The sequence below is a fragment of the Homo sapiens genome, chromosome 5, assembly GCF_000001405.40.
Source record: "Homo sapiens chromosome 5, GRCh38.p14 Primary Assembly".
NCBI lineage: Eukaryota > Metazoa > Chordata > Mammalia > Primates > Hominidae > Homo > Homo sapiens.
In genome coordinates, this window is record NC_000005.10 from 150,421,591 (window position 1) to 150,433,266 (window position 11,676).

The 11,676-nt window shown below is 50.5% G+C and overlaps 1 long non-coding RNA gene across 1 annotated transcript, besides 4 other annotated features; it reads left to right on the forward strand.

Moving 5' to 3' along the window:
• The first annotated feature begins 468 nt into the window (after positions 1-468).
• Positions 469-2,755, forward strand: LOC124901106 (uncharacterized). The gene is made up of 2 exons (XR_007058994.1): positions 469-616; positions 1,017-2,755. It is a non-coding gene; the product is annotated as an uncharacterized LOC124901106 (long non-coding RNA).
• Positions 6,228-6,729: an enhancer, noted in NCBI's record as "H3K4me1 hESC enhancer chr5:149807381-149807882 (GRCh37/hg19 assembly coordinates)". NCBI's record gives its function as "activates a minimal SCP1, AML or CMV promoter by ChIP-STARR-seq in primed H9 embryonic stem cells {active_cell/tissue: H9 hESC(primed)}" and the evidence as "EXISTENCE:reporter gene assay evidence [ECO:0000049][PMID:30033119]".
• Positions 6,730-7,229: an enhancer, noted in NCBI's record as "H3K4me1 hESC enhancer chr5:149807883-149808382 (GRCh37/hg19 assembly coordinates)". NCBI's record gives its function as "activates a minimal SCP1, AML or CMV promoter by ChIP-STARR-seq in primed H9 embryonic stem cells {active_cell/tissue: H9 hESC(primed)}" and the evidence as "EXISTENCE:reporter gene assay evidence [ECO:0000049][PMID:30033119]".
• Positions 7,868-7,917: an enhancer, noted in NCBI's record as "active region_23415". NCBI's record gives its function as "activates an Ori minimal core promoter by ATAC-STARR-seq in GM12878 lymphoblastoid cells {active_cell/tissue: GM12878}" and the evidence as "EXISTENCE:reporter gene assay evidence [ECO:0000049][PMID:35858748]".
• Positions 8,258-8,307: an enhancer, noted in NCBI's record as "active region_23416". NCBI's record gives its function as "activates an Ori minimal core promoter by ATAC-STARR-seq in GM12878 lymphoblastoid cells {active_cell/tissue: GM12878}" and the evidence as "EXISTENCE:reporter gene assay evidence [ECO:0000049][PMID:35858748]".

The window sequence follows — 11,676 nt, forward strand, 5'->3', positions numbered from 1 at the left end:
CTATGTGAATTTACAACTTCAATACAAGGTAAAACTAAATTTATAGTTTTTTTTGTTTTGGGGTGTGTGTGTGTGTGTGTGTGTGTGTGTGTGTGTGTGACGGAGTCTCACTGTGTCACCAGGCTGGAGTGCAGTGGCGTGATCTCAGCTCCCTGCAACCTCTGCCTCCTGAGTTCAAGCGATTCTCTTGCCTCAGCCTCCTGAGTAGGTGGGATTACAGGTGCCTACCACCATGCCCGGCTAATTTTTGTATTTTCATAGAGACGGGGTTTCACGATGTTGGTCAGGCTGGTCTCCAACTCCTGACCTCAAATGACCTGCCCACCTCGGCCTCTCAAAGTGCTGCGATTATAGGCGTGAGCCACCGCGCCCAGCCTAAATTTAAAATAAAGGGAATAATGCATCACAGTCACTAGATTCTAAACCAATGGTGATAGAATGGCAGTCCGAACTCTTTTCTCTGTGCAGCAGTTTCAGGACACAGCTGAGGGAAATCCCACGGTCATCCTGCCCGTGCCCTTGGAGGTTAGAGACTGATGCCAGCCAAGAGGGAGGGTCCCAAGACTGAGTTTCCCAGAGGGCGTGGACAATGGCTCCCTGCATCTTTCCTTACAGGGTAAGAAGTCCCAGTTTCTCACTTGTCACACAGGCTCCACCGCCCAGGGAAGGAGCCTTGTCCCACCTACCCCTGACCACAGGAGGAGGGAGACAGAGTAACAGGAAGCAGTGGAGCTTGGATGCCACACCCTGATGGGGAGATGGAGTAAGGTGGAACCCAGCTCCACAGAGTTTCATACAGAGAAAGTATGACTTAGAGAGGGGAAAGGAACTGGCCCAAGGTCACACAGCAAGGTCCCCAGAACTGGAACTGTTCTGCAGTTTGCATGAGTGTGAAAAACAAAAGAACTTGAGGCAGACTGCCTGGGGCCACATCCCAGCTTCCAAATGGCTGGTTTCAGGGCTGGAGATGGGGGAATGCAGGTGATGCTGAGACATCTCTGTTTTTTTCTTTCCAGAAAGCCAAGAAGTTCTCAAAGACTCCTGGGGCTTGAAAGAAGGACCCAGGAGCCAACTTGAAGGGGCACCGCCAGCCAGATACGGAACAATGCCAGCCTCAATAAGAATAATTTGGCCAGGCCTGGTGGTTCATACCTGTAATTCCAGCACTTCAGGAGGCTGAGGCGAGAGGATTGCTTGAGCCCAGGAGTTCAAGACCAGCCTGGGCAACATAAGAACCCTGTCTCTACAAAAAATTTAAAAATTAGCAAAAGCGTGGTGGTGTACACATGTAGTGCCAGCTACTTGGGAGGTTAAGGTGGGAGGATGGCTTGAGCCCAGGAGGTTGAGGCTGCAGTGAGCTGTGATTGCATCATCACACTCCAGACTAGGCAACCGAGCAAGAGACCCTATCTCAAAATAATAATAATAATAGTAATAATAATTTGTCCTGCCTCTTTAGAAGGAGCTGTAGTTCAATCCCAGTTGATGAGAAAAAAACTCTTCTTTACAGAAGAGTGCAAGCTTCTTGCATTTCTGCAGAAGAAAAGACAGAAATAGAAAATCATCTTGTTGTAACCCTTCGTAAAATAATTGATCAATAATTGATCGTATAATAATTGACAGGATTATCCAGGGAGTCAGAACCCTGGGATGAAAGGCTGGGGGAGGACAGAACAGTCACATGCCAAAGAGTCCACCTGAAGCCTCTTGCTGGTTGCCAAAGGGGAGAGGTGTTTTACAGTAGTAAAAAATGGTGCAGTCTTGCTGTCACCACCTCAGACAAGTGATCAAATTTAGCATCATCAATAGTGGAACAATCTGACATGTGTCTCTGGATGGGATATAATAATAATAATACTCAGCATGAGCTGGGCAGTATCTTTACTAAAGATTGTTAACCTGAATCTGCCTTTTTTTTTTTTTTCTGAGACAGAGTCTCACTCTGTCACCCAGGCTGAAGTGCAGTGGGGTAATCTTGGCTTACTGCAACCTCCTTGCCTCCCTGGCTCAAGCAATCCTCCCACCTCAGCCTCCCAAGTAGCTGGGAGCACAGGCATGCAGAGCCACACCTGGCTTTTTTTTTGGGGGGGTGGTGGGTATTTTTAATAGAGACAGGGTCTCGCCATGTTGCCCGGGCTGGTCTCAAACTGTTGACCTCATGATCCTACCACCTTGACCTCCCAAAGTTCTGGGATTGCCGACGTGAGCCACAACGCCCAGCCTGAATCTGGCTTTGGACCTAAACTCCAGTTTAGAGTCAATACAGGGGGTAGAAGAACAAGTTAAATAACACCATGAAGAAACAATCAGATATATCCAGGGACAGCCTATAAGATAACACCTGCTGCCAGGCACGGCGGCTCACGCCTGTAATCCTAGCACTTTGGGAGGCCGAGGTGGGCGGATTGCCTGAGCTCAGGAGTTCGAGACCAGCCTGGGCAACACAGTGAAACCCCGTCCCTACTAAAATACAAAAAATTAGCCGGGCATGGCAGTGTGCACCTGTAGTCCCAGCTACTCAGGAGACTGAGGCAGGAGAGTTGCTTGAACCCGAGAGGTGAGGTTGCAGTGAGCCGAGATCGCGCCACTGCACTCCAGCCTCGGTGACAGAGCGAGACTCCGTCTCCAAAAAAAAAAGATAACACCTGCATTCTCCAAAGAATCAATGTCACAAAAAAAGGTGTATGTGTGTAGATACATGGGGATCTGTATTTTAAAGGATTTAAAAAACAATAAACCAAATGCAATTTGTAAATCTTTGTAAGATGTACGATTTGAAAAAAACAAGTATAAAAGATTTTTTTTTTTTTTTTGAGACGGAGTCTGGCTCTGTCGCCCAGGCTGGAGTGCAGTGGCGCAATCTCAGCTCACTGCAAGCTCCGCCTCCCAGGTTCACGCCATTCTCCTGCCTCAGCCTCCCGAGCAGCTGGGACTACAGGCGCCCGCCACTACGCCCGGCTAATTTTTGTATTTTTAGTAGACACAGGGTTTCACCGTGTTAGCCAGGATGGTCTCGATCTCCTGACCTCATGATCCGCCCGCCTCGGCCTCCCAAAGTGCTGGGACTACAGGCTTGAGCCGCCGCGCCCGGCCGTAAAGATTTTTTTAAAAGCAGGGAAATTTGAATATCAGATGGACATTTGGAAATTGTTATTGATCTTCTTAGGTATGATAATGAAGTTTTAGTCTGGTAGGAGAATTTTTTTAGGAGATGAGGCTGAAGTACTTGGAGGTAACATGACATGATGTTTGAACTTATTTTCACATTGTTTAGAGAAGAGAGAGAGAGTGGCCGGGTGTGGTGGCTCATACCTGTAATTTCAACACTTTCGGAAGCTGAGGTGGGAGGATTGCTTGGGAAGGCAGCTTGAGGCCAGGAGTTTAAGACTAGTCTAGGCAATATAGAGAGACCTTGCCTCTTAAATTTTTTTTTTTAATTAGCCAGGCATAGTAGTGCGTGCCTGTAGTCCTAGCTACTCAGGAGGCTGAGGCAGGAGGATCGCTGGAGCCCAGGAGTTCGAGGTTGCAGTGAGCTGTGTTCATGCCATGGCACTCCAGCCTGGGTGACAGAGCAAAACTCTCTCTCAAAAATAGAAATAAAGGCCAGATGCAGTGGCTCACATTTGTAATCCCAGCACATGGGGAGCCCAAGGCAGAAGGATTGCTTGAGCCTAGGAGTTCAAGACCAGCCTGGGCAACATAGTGAGACTCCATCTCCACAAAATTTTTTTTTTATTATCTAGGCCTGGTGGCAAACAACTGTAGTCCCAGCTACTCAAGAGGCTGAGATGGGAGGATGGCTTGAGCCCAGGAGATGGAGGCTGCAGTGAGCCGTGATCACACTACTGCACTCCAGCCTGGGTAACAGAGACCCTGTTTCAAAAAACTAAAAATAAAGACCTAGGCATGGTGGTTCATGCTGTAATTCTAGCACTTTGGGAGATCAAGGCAGGCAGATCACTTGAGCTCAGGAGCTTGAGACCAGCCTGCGCCACATGGTGAAACATCATCTCTACAAAAAATAAGCCAGATGTGGTAGCACGTGCCTGTAGTCCCAGCTCCTTGGGGAACTGAGGCAGAAGAATTGCTTGATCCCAGGAAGTCAAGGCTGCAGTGAGCCAAGATCATGCCACTGCACTCCAGCCTGGGTGACAAAGTGAGACCGTGTCTCAAAAAATAATAATAAATAAAATTAAAAGTAAGAGGTCAGACACAGTGGCTCACATCTGTAGTTACAACCCTTTGGAAGGCTAAGATGGGAGGATCCCTTGAGCCTAGGAGTTCAAGACAAGCCTGGGCAACATGGAAAGACCCCATCTCTACAAAAAATGTTAAAAAAAAAAAAAAAAAAAGAAAGAAAAAAGAAAAAATGAAAATAAAAAATTCACCGGGCATGGTGGCATGTACCTGTGGTCCCAGCTACTTGGGAGGCTGAGGTGGGAGGATCACTTAGCCCAGGAGATTGAGGCTGCAGTGAGCTGTGTTGTGCCACTGCATTTCATTCAGCCTTGGTGACAGGAGAAGACCCTGTCTCCAAAAAAAAAAATAAAACAAAATAATAAAATAAAACACAGAGAGAGAAGTGAAATTGATAGTAGTTGAAGCTAAGTGGTGGGTATCTGATCAATTTTTCTGTATGTTAAATTTTTTCTTAATAAATGGTTAGAAAAAATTTTAAGTCAATTATGTACAAACTCAGTTTCCTTTGTACAGGAATTGTCCTCACTGCCAAGAAGACATTGTTCATTCCCATTGTGGTTATATTGACAACTGGGGGACAATGGGCTCTTTTACAGCATAGGCACATAATGTGTGTGTGGTTTTTTTTTTTTGAGAGAGAGTTTCGCTCTTGTTGCCCAGGCTGGAGTGCAATGGCGCGATCTCGGCTCGCCGCAACCTCTGCCTCCTGGGTTCAAGCGATTCTCCTGCCTCAGCCTCCCAGCCTGTAGCTGGGATTACAGGCATGCGCCGCCCCCGCCCAGCTAATTTTGTATTTTTAGTAGAGATGGGTTTCTCCATGTTGGTCAGGCTGGTCTTGAACTCCTGACCTCAGGTGATCTGCCCATCTCAGCCTCCCAACATGCTGGGATTACATTATGGTCCCCCATGCCTGGCCCATAATGTGTGTTTTAATCCTCATCAAAATGTCTCAGTACTTTATGAGAAGTTTTCTATTTTGTTTTTCAGTTTTGTGTTTTTTTGTTTTGTTTTGTTTTGTTTTTGTTTTGTTTTATGGAGTCTTGCTCTGTCACCCAGGCTGGAGTGCAGTGGCGTGATCTTGGCTCACTGCAACCTCCGCCTCCCGGGTTCAAGTGATTCTATTGCCTCAGCCTCCCAAGTATCTGGGATTATAGGTGCCCACCACCATGCCTGGATAATTTTTTTTTTTCCATAGAGATGGAGTTTCACCATGTTGGCCAGGCTGGTCTTGAACTCTTGACCTCAAGTGATCCGCCCACCTCAGCCTCCCAAAGTGCTGGGATTACAGACATGAGACTCTGCCAGTTTTCTATTTTCATAGGAAAAAAATTCTAAGTCAAACCACTTACCAGATGTATGATTTTTAGCAAGTTACTTAAATCCTTTGTGCCTCAGTTTCCTCACCTGTAAAATGGGCATGCTAATAGAACCCATCTCATTGGGTTGCGAAAGGATTGAGTGAAGTAATACACACATGGCTGGCATAGAGACAGCGTGCAATACATGTCAGAGAGTTCAGCAATATGTTCTTTTCCATAAACCTGTTCATTCTGAATCTGGGACCCTGTGCATGTTCAGAGATTTGGAGCTGCTCAACAGAGCCAGAGGGAGCCTCATCCTCCCTCTCTGGACTTTCCTGGGGGTCTCATCTCGGGAGTCTCATCCCTGGTGTCACCCCTGAGCTAGTCTGAGTGACTCTCTAAGATGCCTGCCCTCTTTTGGTCTGGACACTCCAGGCCCCAGAGGTGTGAGTTCCTACCAGTTCACCCTGGGTGAGCCGGGCAGGTGGAGTCTCCTGAGACCTCCCCTTCCCCATTCTCCTTCTTGGTCCCTGAGTCCCTGATGAGCTGCCTCAAGAAGCAGGCAGGCAGTGTGCACCCAGCCCTGCCCACCAGCCCACATGGCCCAGCCCACCCATCTTGTGTGGGGCCTCTTGGACCCCAGTACACCTTGGCCACGAATAAGGGGCTGGAAAGGGGGCTGTTTGTGTGGAGGGAGCAGGCCTGGGCTCTAGTCCTATACCTTCCATATGTGCCCCAGGCAAGTATACATCATCCCTTCTCTCACTTGTTCAGCAGTTATTTATTGAATACTTTATGCCAGGCACTGTTCTAGGAGCTTGGGATACATGGATGAACAAGGCAGACAAGTATCCCCATCCGTATGGAGTTTACATTCCAGGGGCAGGAGACAGGTCAGTAAATTATACTTTTGTTAGAGAGTGGTAAGTGCTATGGAGGAAAGGAAAGTTGTTTCTGGAGATGCAGGGTTGGGGGCAGGTTGTAGTCTTTGATAGGGTGTTGGGATGGGCCTCATTGACAAGGTGAGATTTGAGCATAGGCCTGAAGGAGGGGAGGAAGTTCACCAAGCCCACAACCGGGCAGAAATCACAGCCAGAGCAGAGGTCCCATGGTGGGAATGTGTCCGGCCTGGTTGACGAACCACAAGGAGGCCAGCATTGCTGGGGTGGAGCGACTGAGAGGAAAAGGGAGAGGGAGGGACAGACGGGAGGTCACGAGGTGTGCAGCCAGATCCTGCAGCCACCCACTGGACTTTGGCTTTATGCCGAGTGAAGCCGGGAGCCGTGGGAAGGCTCTGAGCAGAGGAGTCGCCTCCTGACTCTTGCTGTGAAAGGGTGGCTAGGGCTGCTGCGTGGGGGATCTGTACAAGATGGGCAGATCATCCCCGTGCCTCATGGGCTGCTGTGAAGGTCACGGGGGGACACTGGACAAGGAAATGCTTAGAAACAAAAGGCCCTGACTGTGGTTACAGGGCTTCCAGGAGAGAGAGCTGAGTGGCTCTGCTCACAACCGTCTTATTGAAGGGTCAGTGGAGCTCAGGAGAGGGTTATAATTTGCCCAGGGTCATATGTTCTACAACCAATTCAAGATCGGGGACTTCCCACTCTTCTCCCAGGGCAAATACCATCTGGCAGGTGGCTAAGTAGTGCAGCCTTTGGACCTGTGATGGCTGTAGTGCGGCTGACGGGGACTGAGTCCTCCCTTGAAAATCCATTCACTCCACAAATATTTGTTAAGTGCCGGTTATGGGCCAGGCACTGATCTGGACTAGAAGCTGGGACCTAGAGATATTGGGAGACACCTGGCAAGGGCTAAGTCCTGGTCTCTGGTGGGGCTGGTTTCTGGTGGGGCTGGTCTCTGGTGGGGTTGGTCTGTCTCTGGTGGGTTTGGTCTGTCTCTGGTGGGGTTGGTCTCGTCTGGTGGGGTTTGGTCTCTGGTGGGGCTGGTCTCTGGTGTGGTTGGTCTCTGGTGGGGTTGGTCTGTCTCTGGTGGGGTTGGTCTGTCTCTGGTGGGGTTGGTCTCTGGTGGGGTTTGGTCTCTGGTGGGGTTGGTCTGTCTCGGGGCTGGTCTCTGGTGGGGTTGGGCTCTGGTGGGGTTGGGCTCTGCTGGCGCTGGTCTCTGGTGCGGTTGGTCTGTCTCTAGTGCGGTTGGTCTGTCTTTGGTGGGGTTTGGTCTCTGGTGGGGTTGGTCTCTAGTGGGGTTGGTCTCTGGTGGGGTTGGGCTCTGGTGGGGTTGGTCTCTGGTAGGGCTGGTCTCTGGTGGGGTTGGTCTGTCTCTGGTGGGGTTGGTCTCTGGTGGGGTTTGGTCTCTGGTGGGGCTGGTCTCTGGTGGGGTTGGTCTCTGGTGGGGTTGATCTCTGGAGGAGTTGGTCTCTGGTGGGGCTCAGTCGGTCTGTGCAGGAGTCAAGTGTTAGAGGCCACACTACTGAAGGCTGGTGTTGGACTTAGGGTCAAGAGTCCATCTGGGGCTGGGGTCAGGTCACAGCTGGAGTCAGGCAGCCCAGTCAAGAGGCTGTGGAAAGTCAAGCTGGAGAGGCAAGGCCTGCTGGGGGCTGTGGAGGTCAGGAGAAGGCCACACACCACGGGCCAGACTGTGTATGGTAGGGGTGGGACCAAGGTGCCACTGAGCTTTTACGTTTAGGTGGCAAAGAAGATGATGTCATTCATAAAAGCAGGAAGGCATTAGTTCATTTGAGGAACAGAAAGAGTGCAGTGCATCTGATGAGCGGGGAGAGGCGTTTCAGATGAAGAGACAGGCTGGGACCAGGTCATGTAGCCTGGTAGTCTCTTGGGGAATTATTCCAAGAACAATGGGAAGCCCTCAGAGGGCCAGGCAGGAGGTTCTGGGTCTGGTTTGTCTTTGAAAATTATGCGTAGCACACAGATTTAAGGGGGCCGGAGGCCAGGCATGGTGGCTCACGCCTGTAATCCCAGCACTTTGGGAGGCGGAGGAGGGCAGATCATGAGGTCGGGAGTTCGAGACCAGCCTGGCCAACATGGTGAAACCCCATCTCTACTAAAAATACAAAAATTAGCCCGGCATGGTGGTGCACATCTGTAATCCCAGCTACTTGGGAGGCTGACGCAGGAGAATTGCTTGAACCCATGAGGCGGAGGTTGCGGTGAGCAGAGACCACGCCATTGCACTCCAGGCTGGGTGACAAGAGCAAGACTCCCTCTCAAAAAAAAAAAGCAGGGAGGGTGGCTGGGGGGCAGGAATGGGACCAGGAGACCAGTGACGGGCCAAAGTAGTTTAGAGATGGTGGTGACTTTGAGTGGTGGTGGAGAAGAAGAAGGGGGCAGATTCCATAGCTGTCTTGAAGGCAGAAGTGTCAGGATTTGCCGTGGGAGGAAGGGAGAAGGAGGTGAAGGTAGTGCCCAGGCTTGGGGCTGCGCAAGGCATGGTGCTGGCCTCCACTGAGATGGGGAGATGGAGAACACCTTCTGGAGTAGGTAGAAACCAGTTTTGTTCTGGCTGTCTTCTGCTGTGGCACTCATCTGTAGCCACCAAGTAGGTGGCTGAGGATGCACACTGAAACTTCCTAAAGAGAGAAACGAACATGTACCTTTGTGGGTTATCAACGTGCCCCCATACTTAAGAGTGTGGGGCCGGGCGTGGTGGCTCACGCCTGTAATCCCAGCACTTTGGGAGGCCGTGGCGGGTGGATCACGAGGTCAGGAGATGGAGACCATCCTGGCTAACATGGTGAAACCCCGTCTTTACTAAAAAATACAAAAAATTAGCCAGGCATGGCGGCACGAGCCTGTAGTCCCAGCTAGTCGGGAGGCTGAGGCAGGAGAATGGCGTGAACCCGGGAGGCGGAGCTTACAGTGAGCCGAGATCGCACCACTGCACTCCAGCCTGGGCAACAGAGCCAGACTCCGTCTCAAAAAAAAAAAAAAAAAAAAAAAGAGTGTGGATGGAGGAGCAGCTCTGATCAGTGAGGAGGAGGGGCAGGGAGGTGGAAGGAAACCTGGGAGAGGGGCCACCATAGTCCCAGGAAAGACTTGAAGGACGGTGTGGTCAGCTGTGTCGGATACCGCTGAGAGGACCAGTCAGACAAGCGCAGAGGAAAGCCCGGTGGACTTGGGCACGTGAGGTCGCCGGCGAAGCTGACAAGAGCAGGCTTGTGAACTGCTTGAGGATGGGTGGAGCAGCACTGGGAGCAGCGGCAGGAGGTGAGGCAGTGGCTGGACAAGATGCAGCCCCGGGTGCGAGCATGCTTGTCCGCAGAGGGAGTGACTCCGTGGGGAGGGAGAGCCAATGATGCTGACGAGGGGAGGCAGCAAAGGAGGGGTCCAGGCCGGGTACGGTGGCTCATGCTTGTAATGCCAGCACTATGGGAGGCCGAGGCAGGAGAATCACTGGAGCCCAGGAGTTCGAGACCAGCCTAGGTAACATAGGGAAACCCTGTGTCAATCAGTCAATCAGTGAGTGGTCCTGCACAGCCCAGGCTCTCTGATTAATGCTGCCACCACAGTTCCCATCCGCTGGGTTTGAAGGGAAAGTGAAACTTCCAAATCCCACAAAGGCCCTGGCTCCTGAGCCTCACCTCTTTGATTGAGTGTAAATTATTCCCACTTGGCTTCTCATTTTATTGTCACAACAAGCCCTGTGAGTTTCAGGGGATTAAATGAGCTGCATAAGCACCAGCTGAGTGCTAGTAAGTGGCAAAGCCACGATTTGAAGCCAGGTCTGAGCTGTCTCCAGAGCACTTCCTCTCAATCCCCATGTCATACTGCTTCCCGCAGGCTTCTTACTTCGAGCAGTCTTAGGATCAGGTCACCTGCAATCTCTGTTCCCAAGGGGATGGATTAGGCAGGCAGATGGGATTCCTTCCCAATCATTGTTTCTTATGGGCAATTCCTACCTCTAGTACTTTCGAGACAAACTTAATATCAGTCCTCCAGGCTTCCTTCCTACCCAGGAATGATGCTTTTTGAGCGTTTCCTCACATGCCTGACGGTCTACTTACATGCCGCCAGAGACAGAAAGCTCACTATCTCCATGAGTAACCCATTCTAGGCAGTAGGCTTTGCATGACAGCTTAGAGTCTATGCTCTTAAGTTGCTTTGGCTGAATCTCAGTTCTGCTGCCTACTAGCATCCTGTGCTTCAGTTTCCTCACCTGTAAAATGGTAATAACAGCCTGGCACAGTGGTCCATCCCTCTAATCCCAACAATTTGGGAGGTCAAGGAAGGAGGATTGCCTTGAGCCCAGGAGTTCAAGACTAGCCTGGACAACATAGGGTGACGCCCATCTCTTAAAAACAAAAAAATTAGGCCAGGTGCAGTGGCTCACGCCTGTAATCCCAGCACTTTGGGAGGCCGAGGCGGGCAGATCACAAGGTCAGGAGATCGAGACCACGGTGAAACCCCGTCTCTACTAAAAATACAAAAAAATTAGCCGGGCGTGGTGGCGGGCGCCTGTAATCCCAGGAGCCTGAGGCAGGAGAATGGCGTGAACCTGGGAGGCGGAGCTTGCAGTGAGCCAAGATTGCGCCACTGCACTCCAGACTCCATCTCAAAAAAAATTTTTTTTTGATTAGCCAGGCATGGTGGTGTATGCCTATAGTTCTAGCTACTCTGAAAGCTAAGGCAGGAGGATCACTTGAACCTGGGAGTTCGAGGCTGCAGTGAGCCATGATCGCACCACTGCACTCCAGCCTGGGCAACAGAACAAGACCCTATCTCTGAAAAAACAAAACCAAAAGAGGCAGGCCAGGTGTGGTGGCTCACGCCTGTAATCCCACCACTTTGGGAGGCTGAGGTGAGCGGATCGCTTGAGGTCAGGAGTTCGAGACCAGCCTGGCCAACATGGTGAAACCCTGTCTCTATTAAAAATATAAAAATTAGCTGGGCAAGGTGGCAGACGCCTGTAAATACCAGCTACTTGGGAGGCTGAGGCAGGAGAATTGCTTGAACCTGGGAGGTGGAGGTTGCTGTAAGCTGAGATGGTGCCAATGCACTCCAGCTTGGGCAACAAGAGCAAAACTCCATCTCAAAAAAAAATAGAAAAAGGTAATAATAGCAATACCTAATTCCTCACATCTCTGATAGTCTCAGGAGTTTGAGGCTGCAGTGAGCTGTGATCACACCATTGCACTCCAGCCTGGGCAACAGAGCAAGACCCTGTCTCTAAAAAAACAAAAACAAAAAGGGTAATAATAGCAGTA